At 41.0% G+C, this 19,595-nt stretch overlaps 1 protein-coding gene across 4 annotated transcripts in view; it reads right to left on the bottom strand.

Moving 5' to 3' along the window:
- The window catches only part of NELL1 (neural EGFL like 1), a 906,136-nt gene extending 886,541 nt beyond the window's left edge, over positions 1–19,595 (bottom strand). For 2 of the 4 annotated variants that reach the window (NM_201551.2, NM_001288714.1), the window contains exons 1-2: positions 19,368–19,595; positions 11,086–11,214 (exon numbers count right to left, since the gene is read on the bottom strand). In NM_201551.2, coding sequence (NP_963845.1) covers positions 11,086–11,214; positions 19,368–19,422 — 184 coding nt within the window. In that variant the 5' untranslated portion in view covers positions 19,423–19,595. Of the gene's footprint in view, positions 1–11,085; positions 11,215–14,573; positions 14,658–19,367 lie in introns of all 4 variants that reach the window. The other 2 variants (NM_001288713.1, NM_006157.5) reach the window with 2 other exon arrangements.

The raw sequence follows: 19,595 nt of genomic DNA, 5'->3' as shown, positions 1-19,595 counted from the left end.
AATTGAACAAGCAAAAACCAAATAACAATATTAAAAAGTGAGCAAATGACATGAACAAACACTTTTCAAAAGAAGAAAGAAGACATATAAGCGGCCAATAAGCATATGAAAAAACGCTCCACATCACTCATCATTAGAGAGATGCAAATCCAAACCACAAAGAGATACCATCTCACACCTGTCAGAATGGCTATTACTAAAGAGTCAAAATACAATGGATGTTCAAAAGAGTCAAAATACACCAGATGTTCGTGAGGCTGCAGAGAAAAGGAAACACTTATACACTGTTGGTGGGAATGTGAATGAGTGCAGCCAGTCTGGAAAGCAGTTTGGAGATTTCTCAAAGAACTGAAACAGAACCACCATTGACTCACAATCCCATCACTGGGTATATAATACATATATCCAAAAGTAAATAAATCATTCTACCAAAAAACACATGTACTCGTATGTTTGTTGCAGCACTATTCACAATAGCAAAGACATGCAATCAATCTAGGTGGCCATTAATGGTGGATTGGATAAAGAAAATGTGGTATATATGTATATACCAAGGAATATCACACAGCCATAAAAAGAAACAATGAAATCATGTTCTTTGCAGCAACATGGATGCAGCTGGAGGCCATTATCCTAAGCAAATTAATGCAGAAACAGAAAATCAAATACTACAGGTTCTCACTTATAAGTGGGAGCTAAACATTGGATAAACATGAACATAAAGATGGCAGCTACAGACACTGGGAACTACGAGAGGGGGAAGATATTGATGGGTAAGGGTTGAAAAACCACTGGGTACTATCCTTACTACCTGGGTAACCAGATCAATTATACACCAAACCTCAGCATCACACAATATACCCAAGTAACAAATCTGCACATGTACCCTCTGAATCTAAAATAAAAGTTGAAATTATTTTTAAAAGCAAAGAGAAAACTTTTTTAATTTAAAAAATAAAAAAAAAGTTCTCTCTCATAGTAGCCTCTATAACAAATTCTACTACGAAAACTATGGTTACACAATGGACTTCTTTAAATTCTCTTACTAAAAGTATACTAAATAAAATAAATAATTTACTTTAAATTGCATACTTATTAAACAGGAAAAAAAATCTGTATGGTTAGTGATACTTCTTGTTACACATTAAGCATTATAGGGATTCAATTATACGAGATTAATAAAACAGACTACTTAGTTAAAACAAATAGTCTGTCTAACTTATTCTTTGACCTATTTAATTTTAGTTAGAGAAGGCCAGGCATGGTGGCTCATGCCTGTAATCCCAGAACTTTGGGAGGCCGAAGTGGACAGATCAGTTGAGGTCAGGAGTTCGAGACCAGCCTGGCCAACATGGTGAAACCCTGTCTCTACTAAAAATACAAAAAATTAGCTGGGTGTGGTAGTGAGCACCTGTAATCCCAGCTACTCAGGAGGCTGAGGTAGGAGAATCGCTTGAACCCAGGAGGCGGAGGTTGCAGTGAGCAGAGACTGTGCCACTGCACTACAACTTGGGTGACAGAGCAAAACTGTCACGGAAAAAAAAAAAAATTTAGTTTAGTTCATAAAGACCTTAACCAAAAAACATACTCCATATTCTTAACATTATCTTCCTAATATTCATAATACCAATCTCCCTGGCATACTACATTCTCCCAAAAATTGTAAATGTTTATACATAGCCATTCATAAAATGTCAAATAGTCTGTCTTCTACTGAAACTACAAAAACTCAATAAACAAAAATACATAGTCATAAAGACACCACATGACATATGACATACTGAGACCAAAAATTCAAAATAATAACAAAAATAGCACTGAAGTCCTTAGTTTTGGTCACACTCATCTACATTAATATCTGACCATTATTACACATTGTATGCCTATATCAAAATATTCAATACCACATGTAATAATGTACTCATAAAAATTAAATAATAAGAAAAAATCTCACTAAAAGAATTATTAAAATTACGAGAGGCCTTCTTTTAGACAAAACTCATATACTAGTCCCCAAGAGACCAGATCAGATCAAACCAAAATGAAGTCACTCATACTAAATATAACATAATCAAACTAAAAATTTGAAAAAAAAAAAAAGAGAGAGAGAGAGATCCCAAAACAGACCAGATGTTTTTTTCTCTCCTGAAAACAGGAGATTCCAGCATAAAAGGGACCCCTCTACTCTAACCTCTATTAAAAAAAAAAAAAAACTGAAGCCCCTATACACACATGTTCTACTATTTCCCAGTGATATTTGAGACCAACTAAATATATTTACAATAATGACAGAGTCACTTCAATGCCTAGAGTTTTGGTCAGCTTCTCTACTTGGAGAGGGCACTGAAAGGGGAGAATTGTTAAATTAAGTTTAGCCTAAAGCTTCCTCCTTGTAAATTCCACCTGAAAGTTTCTCCATACATAGTAAACTGTAACCTAACTGGGTGGTGTAAACAGACTGTAACCTACTCATATTGATCACCGAGTTTCAGCCACAGTGGCCAAATGTTCGAACAAGGCAAATGCCAAGCTACAACAAATTCAGCTGTTTGTGTACCACACCTCCTTCCATTTTTTGTACATCACTTTCCCTTTTTTGTCCATAAATCCTCTCCAACCACCCGGCAGTGACAGTCTCTCTGAACCTATTCTGGTTCCGGGGGCTGCCTGATTCACGAATCATTCTTTGCTCAATTAAATTCTGTTAAATTTAATTTGTCTAAAGTTTTTCTTTTAACACCCTAAAAAAATTTATTTCAAGCAAGAAGAAAATAAAAATCTTACTTACTCAATTCTTTGTGCTCTACAAAGACAGCAGTAACAAAGATAACTCAAAAGCTGGCTAGCCCCAAAATAAATGCTACCAGGCTTTGCAATTGGTACTGTAGAAATGTTCCCAGTTAAGTGAGGTTTCTATTTAAATGTATCGATATTATTAACAGGCTAGCACTGAAATGAAGGTTTTCATTCTCTGAACACACAATTCACAGCTGGACATCAGATGGTGAAATATTAGGAGAAATAAAAATAAATGAAGGAAAGAATAATGAACTGTTTTTTTTTTACACTTTGCACTTTTGAAGTGCTTTCCCATATGTAGTCATTGAATTCTTATCAGTCTTTTTATTCGTCCCATTTCCAGACAAGGAAACTGAGGCTTGAATACATTAAGAGACGTATCCACTGTCACCCTTAAATACTGCCTCAAAATACTTCCATTTACTCATTGATAAAAGGGGGTAATAATAGTACCTATTTTATATCATAGTAGTGAGGATGAAATAAATTAAAACAAAAAATGCTGATTTTAATCTTCTGCCCTTCCCCAGTCTTCTGCTTTTTCCACTATCCTAATCTACTTCTGGGTTAAAATCTGACATCAATAATGCATAAGGCAGATGATACACATGAGGGAAAAAAAGCCAAAGCTATACCCTATTACTTTAAAATGTATAGACTCAAGTTTAACGAGAGCTCACCACCAAGTACTGTTCGAGCACTTTGTATGTATTATTTCACCCTCACTACAACCATATATAGTAGGCACTATTATTACCCCCACCTTATCAGTGAGTAAATGGAAGTACTTTGAGATGGAGAGCTTAAGTAGCTTGATAGTTGCTATCATACATTAACCTTAAAGTACAGGATTTTTGAAGTCTGCCTATATTAACAGAGCTGTGGTGAAACAGTAAAATTTCTGAGCATCTCCAGATCTGTACTGTCTAATATGGTAACCCCTAGCCACAAAAAGCAACTGAGCACATGAAATATGGCTAGTGTGGCTGAGGAAATGAATTTTCAATTTTGCATAATTTTAATTAATTTTAATTTAGATTTATAGTGAATATTTGATGAAACTACAGTTTTCAAGACACTAGCCATCAGTCAATGAAGGGCAGTGATCCTTCAGAGACGGGATACAAAAGAGATGAGCCCTATAATTACCATAGCTTACTGCTCTGAGGGAGTTTCCAGGCATAGCATAGGAAGGCAGAACTCAGGCAATCTCCTTGAGTTGAGGAGAGAAAGCTGAAGTCTGGGGAGACCAAGGCACCTAGATTTCACAGGACAGTATACACAAGAGAAGATAGCAGCACAAAGACGGAAACACAGATCTACCCAAAATCAGTATTCAGCTGAGTACTGACCTGTGCATACATGTTAGAAAATTACCCAAGGACAGGAAAGACCCACCCAAAAGGCAACAGTATCCAGCATACACGAGGGCCAGAAATAGTACCTATTTCCACCAGTCAAACTGGAAAATCCCATGACTTATCAGTCACTGGGTAGAGTACGCTGAAGGATCTTGCCTCAGTGATGGTAAATAATTAGTTCTACCCTAACTACTAGCACTAGCACTTCTCTGGGCCCATCTAACAAACCTTTAAAGTAGGATCTAAAAGAATTGAATTGTGTCCCAGTTACTAGAACAAAACTCAAAGGTATTTATAAAAATACACAAAAGCTCAGTACCAAAGACGGTAAAATTCACAATGACTGGCCATTAATCAAAAATTAAGAGGCATGCAAGGAAGAAGTAATGAGGAGAAAAATCAGTCAATCAAAATTGGCCCAGCACTGATACAATTATTAGAATTTTCGATTAACAACATTAAAACAGTTATTAGAACTGTATTCATATATTCAAAGAGTTAGGTAGAGACATGGAAGATTTTTTACACAGTCAAACTGAACTTACAGAGTTAAAGCTACAATATATGAGGTAAAAAATACACTAAGTGATAGTAATGACAGATAATACAGAAGTTTCGTAACCTTGAAGGCATAACAATGGAAATGATCAAAAATTATACACAGAGAGAAAAAAGAATAATGTTTTAAATTTTTTTAATTTAATTTTTAGTCTTTTTAAAATAATTTTTGTTTTATTTTTTGTAGAGATGAGGGTCTCACTATGTTGCCCAGGCTGGTCTTGAATTCCTGGACTCAAGCAATCCTCCTGCCTCAAACCTCCCAAAGTATTGGGATTACAGGTGTGAGCCCCCATACCTGGCCTTAGTAAATATTTTAAATAAATATAATATCAATTAGTTATGGAACACCTTTAAGCAGTCAAATATATACATGTAATTGTAGTCACTACAGAAAAAAAAAAAAAAGAACGAACAGAAAAAATATTTGAAGACATAATGGCCAAATTTTTCCCAAGTTCAGTAGATCTCATATGCAAGAAACATGACAAAAACCACACCAGGGACATCATAATAAAATAGCTCAAAATCAGTGATAAAGAGAAAGTCTTAAAAGCAGGGAAAAATACTTGTCTCCAGAGGGACAAAAATATAATAACAACAGACTTCTTGTTGGAAACAATATAAGTGAAAAGACATCTTTAAAGAATGGGGACAAAAACCTGTCGGCACAGAATTTTATACTTAGCAAAGATATATTTCAAAAATAAAAGCAAAATAAAGACTTTTGCAGATGTACAAAATCTAAAAGAATTCATCACCAGCAGACCTGCACTATAAGAAATATTAGTGAAGAAAGAAATGTTAAATGTTAAAGAAAGTCCTTCAGGCAGGATGAAAATAATATCGGGTGGAAATATAAAGTTACACAAAAGAACAAAGAACACAGAAAACAGAAACGGCAAGAGCACAGACACAGATGGGAAAAATAGACACTGAGGACTACTTCCAGCGGGAGAGTGGGAGGGAGTTTGTGGGCTGAAACACTACCTATAGGGAATTATGCTCACTACCTGGGTGATGGGATCGTTTGTATACCAAACCTCAGCAACACATAATTTACCCATATAACAAATCTGGACAGGTACCCCCTGAACCTAAAACAAAAGTTGGGGAAAAAAAGAAACTACATGAGTTAAACGTATAATTGATTTTATTATCTAAATCTGCTTAAAAGATAATTGACTCATTAAATAAAAATAACAATGTAGTCAGGAGTTTATAAACTAAATAGCAAAACAAAGAGTTATAGCTAATAAGCCAACAAAGATAAAACAAAATTGTAAAAAATATTCAATTAATCCAAAAGAAGACATAAAGAGGGGAAAGGGAACAAAGAATACATGGAACAGGTAGGAAACAAATCACGAGAAGATAGATTTAAATATAATCATGTCAATAATCACATTAAATGTAAATAGTCTAAATACGCTGATGAAAAAACACAAATTATTTTATTGGTTTAAATAAAAAGTTAGCCTCCAACTATATATTGCCTGTAAGAAAAGCACTTTACATGCTGCAATATGTATAAATCTCAAAATACCCATAATGAGTAAAAGAATCCAGACCAAAAAAGCACATACTGTATGATTCTATTTATATAAAATTCTAGAAAATGCAAATTAGTGTATAGTCACAGAAAGCAGATCAATAATTGCCTAGAAGTGGAGGTTGGGAGAGGTAAGTGGGAGGAATTATAAAAGAAAAAAGGTAAACTTTTTGGGTGATAACTATGTTCATTTTTCTTGATTGTGATGATGGCTGCACAGGTATATTTGTATATTAAAATTACCAAGTTGTATATTTTGAATACACAGTTTATTATAATATAATTATACCTCAATAAACCTGTTTAATTTTTTAATCTAATAATTGTCTGTACAGAATAATTTGATGAATCTACGTTTTTAACTTTAAATTTTATGAAATCAACATACATATCAATTACTACAAATTAAAAATTTAGCATGCAAATCGGAATGTGTTTTAAGTGTAAAATACCAATTAATTTTGAAGGCCTTGTTTTTTAAAAAAAGTAAAATATCTTATTAATATATTTTTGGGTTGACCATACGTTGAAATAATATTTTTTATATGTTGGGTTAAATAAAATATATAATTACTTTTATCTGTTTCTTTTTACTTTTTTAATGTGGCTCTTACAGATGTTACAATTAAAGATGCAGCGCACAATACATTTCGATTGGACCATACTGCACTAGAAAAAGGAAGATTTAATTGTAGTACTCAGGAAACATCATTATGTTCATATTTATGCCCAACAATGCTTAGCCATTCTATGATAGAATAATGGGCCCCAAAAGATATTCATATTTTAATCCCCAGAACCTGTTAATATGTCAACTTATATGGCAAAAAAAGATTTTGCAGATGTGATTAAATTATGAATCTTGAGATGAGAATACTTAGATTACCTGGGTGGTTCCAACATAATCACAAGATTTCTTATAAGGGAAAATGGAAGGCAGAAGGTCAATATCAGAGAAGATAATATGATGACAGAATCAAAGAGAAGGAAATGTGACAACAGAAGTCGACCTTGGACTGATGCAGCCATGAGCCAAGGAATGTGGCAATTTCTGGAAGCTCCAACAGGCAATGAACTGAATGAATATTCAGTAGAGCTTCCAGAAAGAACACAGCCCTACTAACACCTTGGTTTTAGCCCCATAAATCTCTTTTTTGAACTTATGACCTCTAGAAGTATAAGATAATAAATTTATTTTAAGTCACTAAATTTGTAGAAATTTGTTATAGCACCAGTAAGAAACCAATGCAAACTTTAGGTAACTGGAAGTGGGGTGCTGCTGTAACAAATACCTAAAAATGTGGAAGAGGCTTCGGCATTGGATAATAGGCTGGAAAATTTTTAAGGAGCTTGGTAGAAAAGGCCAGTTGCCTTCAACAGGGAGTTAAAAATAAATATAGATGTTAAAAGTGGTCCCAGCAAAGACATAAAAGGAAATGAGGGACATATTATTGAATGAATACCCAAAGATGGAGGATCCTTGTTACATGATGCCAGAAAGCTTATCTGCATTTTGTCCTGTAGTTATGTGGAAAGTAAAATAAACTTGGATATTTAGGTGAGGAGATTTCCAAGCAAAGTGTTGAAGTTACAGTCTGATTTCTTCTTGCTATTTATGGCAAAATGTGAGAGAAAAGTAAGGGATTGAGAGAAGAGCTGTTAAGCAAAAAGGAGTCAGGACTTGATAATTCAGAGAGTTCTCAGCCTATCCAGATTGCAAAACACAATAAAAGGAGACACACTATCAGGAAAGCCTGCTCTAGAGCCACGTTGTGGTTAAACAACTTTTTGAGAGTGCCTTGGAAGGATCAAAAGATCAAAATATTCAATCACCTAGAGGCCTCTTTGTAGAGATCAGTATGTGAATCATGGATTCCCTTCAGCCATCTCAGTAGTAGTCAGGAATAGAGACAGCATTATCTAGGACAGATCTGTGGATAAGCTGCTTGTCTAGTGGACAGGAGACCTTCAAGATTCTTGAGAATACTATACCAACAGAAACCCTGCCAATTTGGACTGAAGAAGACTGAGAGAGGACACAATGAAAGATGTCTGACAAACCACCAAAACTTTACAGGCAGGAAACAAGCTGATTAAACTACTCAACTGCAAACAAATGCTATCCTTCATGAAAAATGAACGATGTCTCAGAGGAATGAGCCACAAGCCAGAAGACAGAGCCAAAACCAAAGAGGATTATTTCTAAGACTTGAACCCAACGGAGTTTGCACTGCTGAATTTCACAATTGTCTGGGACCAGTGACTCCTTTCTTCTTTCCATTTCCTTCCTTTGGAACAGAAATATCTATAACTGGTATCTTATGCCTGTCCCGCCATTGTATTTTGGAAGCAGATTACCTGTTTTCCAGTTTCATAAGACCACAATAAAGAGAAATTTTTCCCCCAAAATGGATTATACCCACTGTCTCACCCATATCTGATTTAGATTACTTAATGAGATGTAGAATTTTTCAGCTGAGATTAAGGGAGATTTCAATCTTTGAGTTGTTGCTATGATGGATTAAGACTTTTTGAGATACTGCGATGGGGTGAATGTATTTTGCATGTGGGACAGACATGAATCCTTGGGATCTAGAGGGCAGACTTTGTGGCAAACAAAATAATGGCTCCCCAAAAATGTCCAGGTGCTAATTGACAGAATCTATAATTATGTTACCTTACATGACAGAAGGGATTTGCAGATGTGATTAAGTTACTGATATTGAGATGGGGGAGATTATCCTGAATTTCTAGGTGAGCCGAATATAATCACAGGGGATATAAGCGAAAGGCCTTCTCTGTCAAAGTTCCATAAAAAAGTTACTCTTCCCACCAAAGAAGCTGAAAATCCCTCCCAGTTGTTGTAGCCGGGCAGACAACACAGAGATGGTTGCCAAAACAGAGAATGCACAGATTAGAAAGTAGAGTTCCAGCCCAGGGGACCTACACTTGTGGAATGAATAGTAGTAACTAAAGCAAGCAGTAAGTTTTTTATAAGGTACATAGTACAAAAGAAATTTTAATTCCATTCAAAATGTTTATTGATCACCTACTGTGTTTCATGCACAGTAGGTGGCCCTGAGGATCTAGGAGTATCTAGGTCAGCAGGACTCCTGCCCTCTTGAAGCTTACAGACCAGCCAGGTTTCCATAGCAACTTTGTTTATAAAGTATCAGCATGAGTTGTTGCTATGATGGATTAAGACTCAGATCAAGAAAGGTATGGACTCTCAACAGTGACTGGCCAGATATAGCACAATGCAAAAACAAAGTAATTCAGTCTACCCTTTTAACCATGCCCAGCTTACATACTTCACCAATTCATTAGTAAGGAGTAAGTGAAAATTAGTATGTCCATAGTCTTGTTACATATAATTACATAATAACTCTAGATTTGCTACATATCACTAACAAGTCTTAAGTTATCTGCACTGTAAATATGTAAATCTCATTCTATTATGTTGGTTCAGCCATGCTAAAATAATCCTTTTGTTATCATCATAAAAGGCTGAGTTAAAAGAACCCTGCCAGACATTTTCGTAGAGGAATATCCAGGCTGCCTTACTATGGTATCTGGTCAGTTCATTTCCCTGTTTAAACCTCTACAAAGGCCCCACTTCTCTGAGAGTAAAGCACAAAGCTGTTAAGTGGCCTATGGGCAAGAGTAATACTTAAAACAGGTAACAAAAAGTACATGGCATCCCACCTATCAAAATGGACACTGACCATAAATCATCAGTACACCCAAACCCACACATATCAGCAGAATATCAGCTCTGACAACAGGGTCCCATGTAACCTAGTCTCTGTCTACCCCTCTAGACATTCACCACCCTTCCGCCATGCGAAAGTCTTTTTGTTGGCTTTTGCCTTACCTTTATATATACTATTTCCTCTATTCAGAATGCTGTGAGACCCCATCCCTTCCTATACCAGGCTTTTTATCCATTTTTTAAGTATCTGTTGACCTATCACTTTGCTGATTTGAATATCTGTGTCCCACCAAAATTCATATTAAAACTTAATCCCTAGTGCATTAAGAGGTGGGGCCTTTAGACAGTGATTAAATTATGAAGTCTTTGCCCTTGTGAATGGATTAGTGTCTTTAGAAAGGAAACTAGCTAGTTATTTTTCTGCCTTTCCATCCCTTCCACCATTTGAGGACACAGCATTCCACAGGACACAGTAACAAGGCATCATCTTGGAAGCAGACAGAGCCAGCCCCCACTAAGTACCAAATCTGCTGATGCCTTATTCTTGGACTTCACAGCCTCCAGAATTGTGAGAAACACCATGCTTCTAAGAACCACACCATGTTTTCTCTATAAATGCTTGCTGAATGATTTAATGAATTGTGGTCCCGCTTATAGTGGGCAGAACTGAGTAAGCTCTACCTCAAGGAGAATGCAGCCATAAGTTTTCCTCTGTTCTTATGGCCTATCCACTAGATGAAAGATGTAAATATAGGTATAGGTGTAAGTACAGGCAAAGATATTGATAACAGCTAGAGAAATGTCCTGTAACAATAATATAGATGGTCAATGGCTTTCAAGTATGTTATAAATCCATCCCACTTTAGATCCTCACCAAAATCAAGGAAATATTTCACTGCCAAACCAAATATTTTACCACCATGATCTCTAATGCCTCCCTCCTGCCCTCAGAATAATACCCCCTGCATATCTAAACACTCAAGACAGCAACACAAGAGAAATAGCAAAGGCGATCTCCAGACAAACACACAACAAATGAGCACTCCCCAGACAGACCCTCCTCCCCAACCTCTGCCACCATGCAAGAAAGGAGGTGCCTTTACCTTGAAATAAAAATGCTTTGCTGGCATTGTGCATTCCAGACACCTGAGCAACTCCAAGGGTGGTGTTCACAAGGTCAAGCTCGGTGACGATATCCATCTGAAGGTCAGGGTCCATCCCAAAGCCCACCACTGGAAAGGAACAAAGAGTTGTTTGGGCTTAAAATGCAGACTGTTACTAGCATTCAGAGGTTACAGAGTCGGGGAGTGGCAGGGAATACAAGGAAGCCAATGATGAGTGCTTGGAGAGTCTTTGTCTATGGAGGGAAAAGAAAAGCAAATCTTTGCTCCCTTACCCCGCTAATACTGTAGTTTCTTTGTTCCTTCCCCCAACCCCACCCCCAATTATGGATTGATAATTTCTTATCCAAAACTCCTGGGGTTAAATATAGTTCAGAATTCAGAAGGTGCCATGTGTTAGAAAGGTAATATGGCCTATATACTACATTTTATGTAACATTTTTAGCAAAGTCTAACTCAGAACCCCATAATCAAGTACAACATTTCTGAAGCAAAAAGTATGACATACTTCTCTAATTGGCATAAATAAAGATTATAAATAGGTTGATATCAGTTTAGATCAAGTCTTGCCATGAAATGAGTTCAACTCAGGATAGGTTTTGCTGTCAGATGAGTTATGAAGAAACTGGGTTTCCAAGCTTTATAGAGGTGGTGACTGCGGATACAAGATTGTGGCCCTGATCCACCTGCCTCAGAGACTGATGCAGTAGCAAAATCTGACCCACCACCACCAGTAAACACCTCCACAAAGTGTTCCCTAATTAATCAGTCACAATCACCTGTGTTAAGGAGGAAAAAAGTGGAAAAGGACCCTGTCCCTGTTGAAGAAGGGTGGCAGAGGGACTGGCCAGGAAGGAGAATCCCTGGAATAATGGATATATATTTCCATCCAAGGGGATTCCTGGATGGAAAGCCAGATACCCTGATAACTCTTTTTAGAGAACCTTAATGCAGAGAAATACAGCCGTGAGCCTCCTCTTCCCTTGTTTGAGAAAGACAAATCCCTAAAGATGCCTCTCACCCATGGGGTGCTCTGAGCAATGATTCATTCATGATTGCAAAGTGATTTCCAACTATATGTATTAATAAGGCTAGTGATCACTCTAAGGGGCTATGTTTAAGCCATTCATAAAGGCTGTGTCTATCTACACATACCATCTCAATAGTGCAATTTTGACTGTGCTGTTGGAAATGTTTTAATCAGCAACAGCTGTCAACTCTCATCTGATGGTAATGCAGTCACTGAGACAAGATTTGGAGGGCTTGTACCCACTGCGTGAATGTTCACCGGGACATCATAAGCTATCACCACCTCACCTGTCCTCCCACCTTAACCCCTGGTCCTACAGCCTTGGAGAAGGAAATCTACTCTTTCCTTACTCTTTTCCTGTTAGGAAACAGGACCTGCTAGGCTTCTGTCAACAGACGGTTGGTCAGGAAGGCCTCTTTAGAGCTGAAACCGGTTATTGCCAAGGCAGACAAAATGTCTATAACTGCCTTCTCAGTTTCTATCAGACTTCCCCTTGTCCCCTGAACTGAAGATTTAAGTTTTCCCCTTCCAGTTGACCCAAAGATGTCTTCCTTCCATTCACTCTGCATTCATTCATTTCATAATTTTTTCAACAGGTATTACTGAGTGCTTACTATATAGCACACACATGGAGCTCGCATTCCTGTGGGTTAGGTTGGGGGAGGGCAAAAAATAAACAAATGAATAAGATAATCTGAGATGGCAATAAACACCATGAAGAAAATAGAGTAATGGGATAGAAAGCAACTTGGATGGGGGGGTCCTACTTTAGAAAGGGGGGTTGAAAAGTTTCTTTCAAGCTGAAACTTGAATGACTAGAAAAGGCAAGATGGGAGGAAGCTTTCCACATGCAGAGAAGGGTGCATGCAAACGAGGAACAAACTGGGAGTGTCCTAAGAACAGAAAAAAGGCTAGCATGGCAGAAACTGAATGGGCCAGGGGTAGAGAAGTAGAAAATGAGGCCACCCAGGCACGGTGGCTCACACCTGTAATTCTAACACTTTGGGAGGCTGAGGCAGGAGGACTGTTTGAGCTCAGGAGTTTGAGGCCAGCCTGGGCAACATAGGGAGACCATGTCTCTACAAAAAGATCAAAAAATTAGCCGGGCATGGTGGCGTACACCTATGGTCCCAGTTAATTAGGAGGATCACCTGCACCCAGGAAGCAGATCCTGCAGCACCACTGCACTCCAGCCTGGGTGCCAGAGTGAAACTCTGTATCAAAAAAAAAGAAAAGAAAAGAAAAAAGAAGAGAGGCCAAAGTGGGAGAGAGAGAAGGGCCAGATCATATAAGCCCTGTGACCCAAAAGGAGCTTGGATGTTATTCTAATTCTGAGATATAATTGGAGGGTTCTAAGGTTTATGCTTAAGGGCAGAAATTAAATTTCAGGGGACCTCCAAGTTGGTGTTTCTCTGGCCAGGAATTTGGAATGTGGTCTGGGGAACGTGCCCTTCACCAGACGCAAGAAGAAGGAAGCACCCCTGTCGCCCAAGTGCCTTTCACAGGCCTGGACAGATGGCAGGCAGGCTCTCAACTTAAGACCTGATTATCTAATGAGTTGATGCATGATCAATACTTTGGGTGCAATGAACTCTGAGCAATATGCATATCTGGGGATAGTATGAGATGACGGATGACATGCAAGCCCAGGAAACTTTCCAAAAGGACAGTGGTTGACTGAACATTGGCCTTAAATCTTTACCCCTCTCATATCCACAGCCTTTACTGAGTGGCTTTGCAGTTCCTTCCACTACAATGGGAGTAAACCTCCCCATCTCTTGATTTTGAGGCAAGCCATGTAACTTGTTTTGGCCATTGGGATGTTAGTAACATTATTCAGGCAGCGACTTGAATATGCTTGTGCAGTGGGGTTTGTTCTCGTCTACTTCCACATCATGATAAGAACATGTCCCGGCTGGTCCACTGGTCCAAGGAGACCTAGACATGTGGAGCGGGCAGCCTACCTGAGTTTGAAACCAAGCCCAGCCAAATGCAGCCTAGATAAGCCAACCCCAAACACAATTTACAGATATGTGAACCAAAATCAATGGTTTGCTTTAAGCCACTGAGTTTGGGGTTATTTGTTATACAAAATTATTATGACAATATTGACCGATGCAGGGACTAAAGACCTTCTACGATGGCATCCTTAAGACGCTCAAATCTCCCAGACTAAGAGCCCTGCAATTAATTGGGCAAGGCTTCAACCACCCAAACAAACTCTGTAGAACTAGCAGAACACCCCAATGGTATCCTTGAATCCCCACCCCCAAATGAGAACACAGTGCCCTCAATCCAGAAAGTATTGTGGAAACAACACTAAACTGAGATCCAGTTTCAGTCCAGTCTCTTCCCTCTACTAACCCTGTGCCCTTAAGAAAAGCATTCATTTATCAAGCCTCAGTTTCCTCATCCATAAAATAGGAACGTTAATACCTGCCTCCCTGAAGGGATTGCTGAAGCAGAGACTTCAGAACTCTAGTTCTCCATATCAGCGATAACACGGGTGGCTTCATATCTTCTGCTGTAGGAAATTTCATGTTTTGGGTTACCGTGTGTAAAAAGATACTGGTACCTGTTACACCAGACTCATGAGGACTCGGGGAAACTATATTCACACTTCAACAGCTCCATCTGGCACATAGGTGGTGCCCAGCTGGGGGTTGTTTCATCTGTCTTTAATAAGACCAGTTCTCCAGACCACTCCAGCTCCCTGGTCCTCAATTCCACTGGAATCATAAAAAAGGTACAGATGGCCCCTTTCCTCCCAGCCCTTATCCATGCCCAAGTGACTTAGAAGGGCCTCTCACGCTGGGTTTGCTAGTAAAATCCATATATGACATGTATATTCGCTCCCCAACTCCCTGCCCGCAACTCAAAAGTGAAGGAGCTTCTCTGGCTTTAAGATAAGTGTATTGCTTTTATTATGAAAACACCTCATAAAAACAGAGCCAAAAAAAGAGAAATCAATTAGGCTTCTGGATAGTTTTCTTCTCTGCCTTTAATTGGTCCCCACCAGGATGAAAATGCCTCGTGCCCATAGCAGGATGTATAAAGGATAGCATTTTGCATACTGCCTAGGGAATCAGAAAACCTATTAATAAGGCAGCATTGACATGGGCTGTCTTGAACCTTATGTAGTGTGAGTGTGGTCTCATAAAAAAAAAAAATGTATTGTTTCTGCTTCTTGTCCAAGCATGGAGCTCCTGCCCTTTCCTAGGAAACTCAATTAAAGTTCTCTACTTTGGACATAACGGCTCTACAAATGGCTAAAATTGGGAATTACAATTAAGCAAGATGAAAAGCTCCTGGGGAAGAAATATTTTAAAAACCTGGAAGGCAGCATGTCAATGTCACAGAGGCACTTGAGGCCTGACTAGGATTCAGAAACTCCACCCTAACAAAGATACCTGCTGCTACTGCTGCTATTGGCTGCTCCTCACCCCCACCCAGGGAATGCTCGGGCCCACAGCCCACTCAGTTCACCTTTGGGGTCCCAGACATAGGCTTTCCAGCAAATCCTCCTGGGTCTGGCTGACTTTAAATTTACTCCTGCTCATTGTCCATGGTGGAAGCTGTTTTCCTCTGGACCATGCAGACTAAAAAAATGCTCCAAGAGCTCATTTAACCACAGAATTTCACAACCACTTAATCAGGTTTGGGCCCCTGGGCACCTACGAAGGTCCTTAATACCCCAAAAGCAATTTTCTTGAAGAATATGCTCTATGCCTGTTCCAAGCTGGCCAGTATTTTCCATGATCCTTGGAGGCTGGGGGCTCATGTTCACAGTTCCATTATTCAATTCATAATTAATGATCCACCTGAGAGTTCCTTCCAAAAGAAAATCTCTTGGCCAGGCGCAGTGGCTCACACCTGTAATCTCAGCACTTTGGGAAGCCGAGGCGGGCAGATCACCTGAGGTCAGGAGTTCGAGACCAGCCTGACCAATATGAAGAAACTCCATCTCTACTAAAAATACAAAATTAGCTAGGCGTGGTGGTGCATGCCTGTAATCCCAGCTACTCGGGGGGGGGGGGGGGGGCTGAGGCAGGAGAATCACTTAAACCCAGGAGGCAGAGGTTGTGGTGAGCCGAGATCATGTCGCTGCACTCCAGCCTGGGCAACAAGAGCAAAACTCCATCTCAAAAAAAAAAAAAAAAATTCTCTCCTTTCCAGCAGGTGGCAGCAAAAGACATTCACTTGGTCAGTAGGGGCTTTGCAGGTGTAGGTACTCCCTTCACCCTCTGCCCTGGTGACCAAAACAAACTGGAAAGCAATGTGGGAATAATTATTGAGTTTTCAATTATTCACACTGCCAAAGCATTGGTGAAAACTCATAGAGATAGTGTGTTATTACTGCTATTATTGTAGCCTTCTAAATTTTCATTATTAGTGATGTACCTGAAAATCTCTGAATTATTTCTCAACCAGAAATAACAAGAACTGGAGAATGGCACCTCCCGTCTTGACTCCACTTTGCACTCTAAAACAAGTTCTCTGAACAAGGCAGATTTAAGCAGCTCCTCATGACACCTATCATTAGATCTTTTCATATGCAACTGTGTCTGCACTGCAGTCTTGCTTTAATTAAAATGTGCCTGATATCATCTACTCAGTTCCATTAAAAGCCGGTGATATCTGAGCAGCTCACTAAGTGAACCACATGTTTATTTCATCTAGGACTGTTAACAGCCCAGACAACAATTGTCCCACTTGACAAAGAAACTTTCAACGCAGCTGTTTGGATGCTGATAATCACAAGCCAGCCTTTGTTACCTAAGAAGAGGGTGGATGGATGATGTGGAAATGATTTCTGCACAGAATCAGAGGGCTGCCTCCAGAAAGCTACCGCTTATACCCTCTCAAGCTACAAGATACTTTAAGTGTACAAATTGAGAGGTAATTCCCCCGTCTCTCTGATTCTTCCGATAATGTGTGTAGAAGAAATATGCGGCCTCTAGTGTTCAAATAGTGCCAAGTGACATTGAGAACCCAAGCTCCCTAGGCAACAGCCACAACCAGTGGGTCAGATCCTTCCATGCTTCCCTGCCTTTGCTGAATCTGCTCCCTCTGCCAAGAATGCCTTCCCACTTTGTCCACCTGGAAAACTCCCTAGAAAGCCTTGAAGGTACATCTCTCAAATCCCTGACCACCACTCCTCCCTAGAATTAATTCAAACTGTCTCTCCTCCACATTTCCTTAATACAAACTTATACTCCTACCTCTCCACCACCCCCCCCATCAATCTGTAAAATTAAAATGCCTGCCAGTTTCTATCTAGATTCCCAGCTGAGCTTTAAGTTCCTAGAAGTCAAGGACTGTCATTTCCTCTTTGCATAAGAAATCCTGGCACCCAGCAAGACATCGTTTGTTGAATGAGTAAAGACATGAATGAATCTTCCCCTACAACGAAATTTTTACAAGATTTAAAGGGGATTGGAAGTGGAAAGAGGGAAAATACCTGTTCTTAAAGACCCCTTCCACAAGCAATGAACCCTGAAACACGTTCCATTCCGTGATAAGGGTACTTTGGCGACTTTTCAAAGGAGTAATGAGAACAAAGGATTTAGGCATATTCCGTAGTGATGTGCACTTAGGGATGTGAACTCACTAACGGGTTGCCCCCTCCCTACCTAGCTTCTTCCTGTCTGCGGTTCCTCTGTAAGATGTCCACGAGCACCAGACTCTCGCGCTCAGAGCCAGTAGCCCACGCTCTGCACTAGTCTTGCCTGTCCTGATCTTCCTGGGGTGCGCGCACTCCTTCAGCGTGTCCTGGTTTTAAAAGACTAACCCATCCGGATGGGCCTGAACTCAAGAAGCAACTATTCTAAGCTAGACTGAGCCTTGGCGTCTCCGCAGCCTGGGAAGCTCGGATAGAGGTAAGGAACGGAATGGGAGGTTTCTTTTGTCCCTTGAGAAATCCATATTCAACATTCTTAACCAGACGAAAGCCGCTGCCTGCTCAGTCCTGGGGAAGTGGGAAGGGCCCTCTGAAAGCTCCTAGACGCTAGATCTTCCAGCGGGCTAACTGCCAAAGAGGGGCGCCTGGGCGCAAGCGGAGGGAACTTTTGAGCCAACCAAGTGCAGACGCCCCTTCTTAGCCCTCTCCAGATGAACTTGCTCTTTGGCCTAGAGAGAAGGCCACGCCTCTAAAGAAGGAAATAAGGATGGTAAAGGGGGGAGAATAAAGGGAAAGGGAATGACCACACAGATTCTGGGGTGCAGCGCGTACGGAGGATGGCTGGGTAGGATTGCAAACCTCCGACACTCCCCCCAGTTGACAGGCCCTATTTTTGCCAATTTCCTACATCTCACCCCACCTCACCTCACCCCAGTCTCCCCGCATCTACTACTAGCTCTTTGAAGAAGGCGGCTGCAAGCCAGTCTCCGAACCCCAGGGGACTTTTGGGCAAGGGAGCCGGTGGAAGCAGAAGGAAGAAGATGCGCTGAGAGTCCTCACAACTGCGTCTCCGGAGGCAGAACGAAGTGGGGACTTCAGACAATCAAGCGTCATCCTTGCTCCCCCCTCCCCACACGGAACCCTGCGATTATGGCAAGAGAAAACTGGTTTGAGCTTGAGAAAATTTCCCCAGATTGTCTCCACTGCTCTATTTCCCTCAGATAATTGTTCGCCCAGCCCTTGGGAGCAAAGACAGGCGGAGGAGAATACTCCTGGAGTTCTCCTGGGTAGTCAGGAAGGCACAGGAGGAGATCGCGGGATCCCAGGGTTCTCCCGCAGCTCTCTGCCCTCGCCGCACCGCGCCCTCCCGGGCCCCGGCCGCGCCCGCCAGCCGGAAGCGCTCCCTCTGCGGGTGCGACTCCCGCAGCTACCCCTTCCCAGCCTGGCGGGGGTCGGCGAGAGTGGTTTCCACAGCACCTTACAAGTTCGGGAACTCGGGGCACGCGGGCCCGCCCTGCTGCGGGTTTCGACTCCCTGGGACGGAAAGCCGGTTACTAGCAGCAAGAGGGTGCGCCTACTCGGCCGCGCCCCTCACTCCTGCGCCCCTGAGGCCGGGTCCCCTGAGAAGGGGCACTCAACGGGGACATCTTCAAGCCCGTGAGTCCCTATTTTCACCCTGTCACTCCGAGCAGGGCAAAGAGATCCCAGGAACCGGTCCACGCTACCGCCGTTCCCCAGACCAGCGCAAAGCTCGGCTCCAGGTCTCCCCACGCCGCCGTGGTCTGTGGGCACCCCCATTTCCCGGATCCCTCTAACCGCCACAGTCATGCTTACCTGTCCTGGCAGTGCACACACAGAACCACACAACTAAAATCAAATCCATCGGCATCGCTCTCGAGGGTCCCCGCCTAGCAGGGGGCACCGAAGCTAGGTGGAAGCAAATGAGCCTGGATCCTGAGGCGCGCCTGGCTTGGAGCCGCCAAACTTGCTAGCGGGCGGCGGGGGAGGTGGCTCGGCAGCGCCGGGTGCTGCGCTCGCATATGCGCCCGGGAAGGCAGCCCC

Source organism: Homo sapiens, chromosome 11 (genome assembly GCF_000001405.40).
Source record: "Homo sapiens chromosome 11, GRCh38.p14 Primary Assembly".
Lineage (NCBI taxonomy): Eukaryota > Metazoa > Chordata > Mammalia > Primates > Hominidae > Homo > Homo sapiens.
This window is presented reverse-complemented; position numbering and strand designations above follow the sequence as displayed.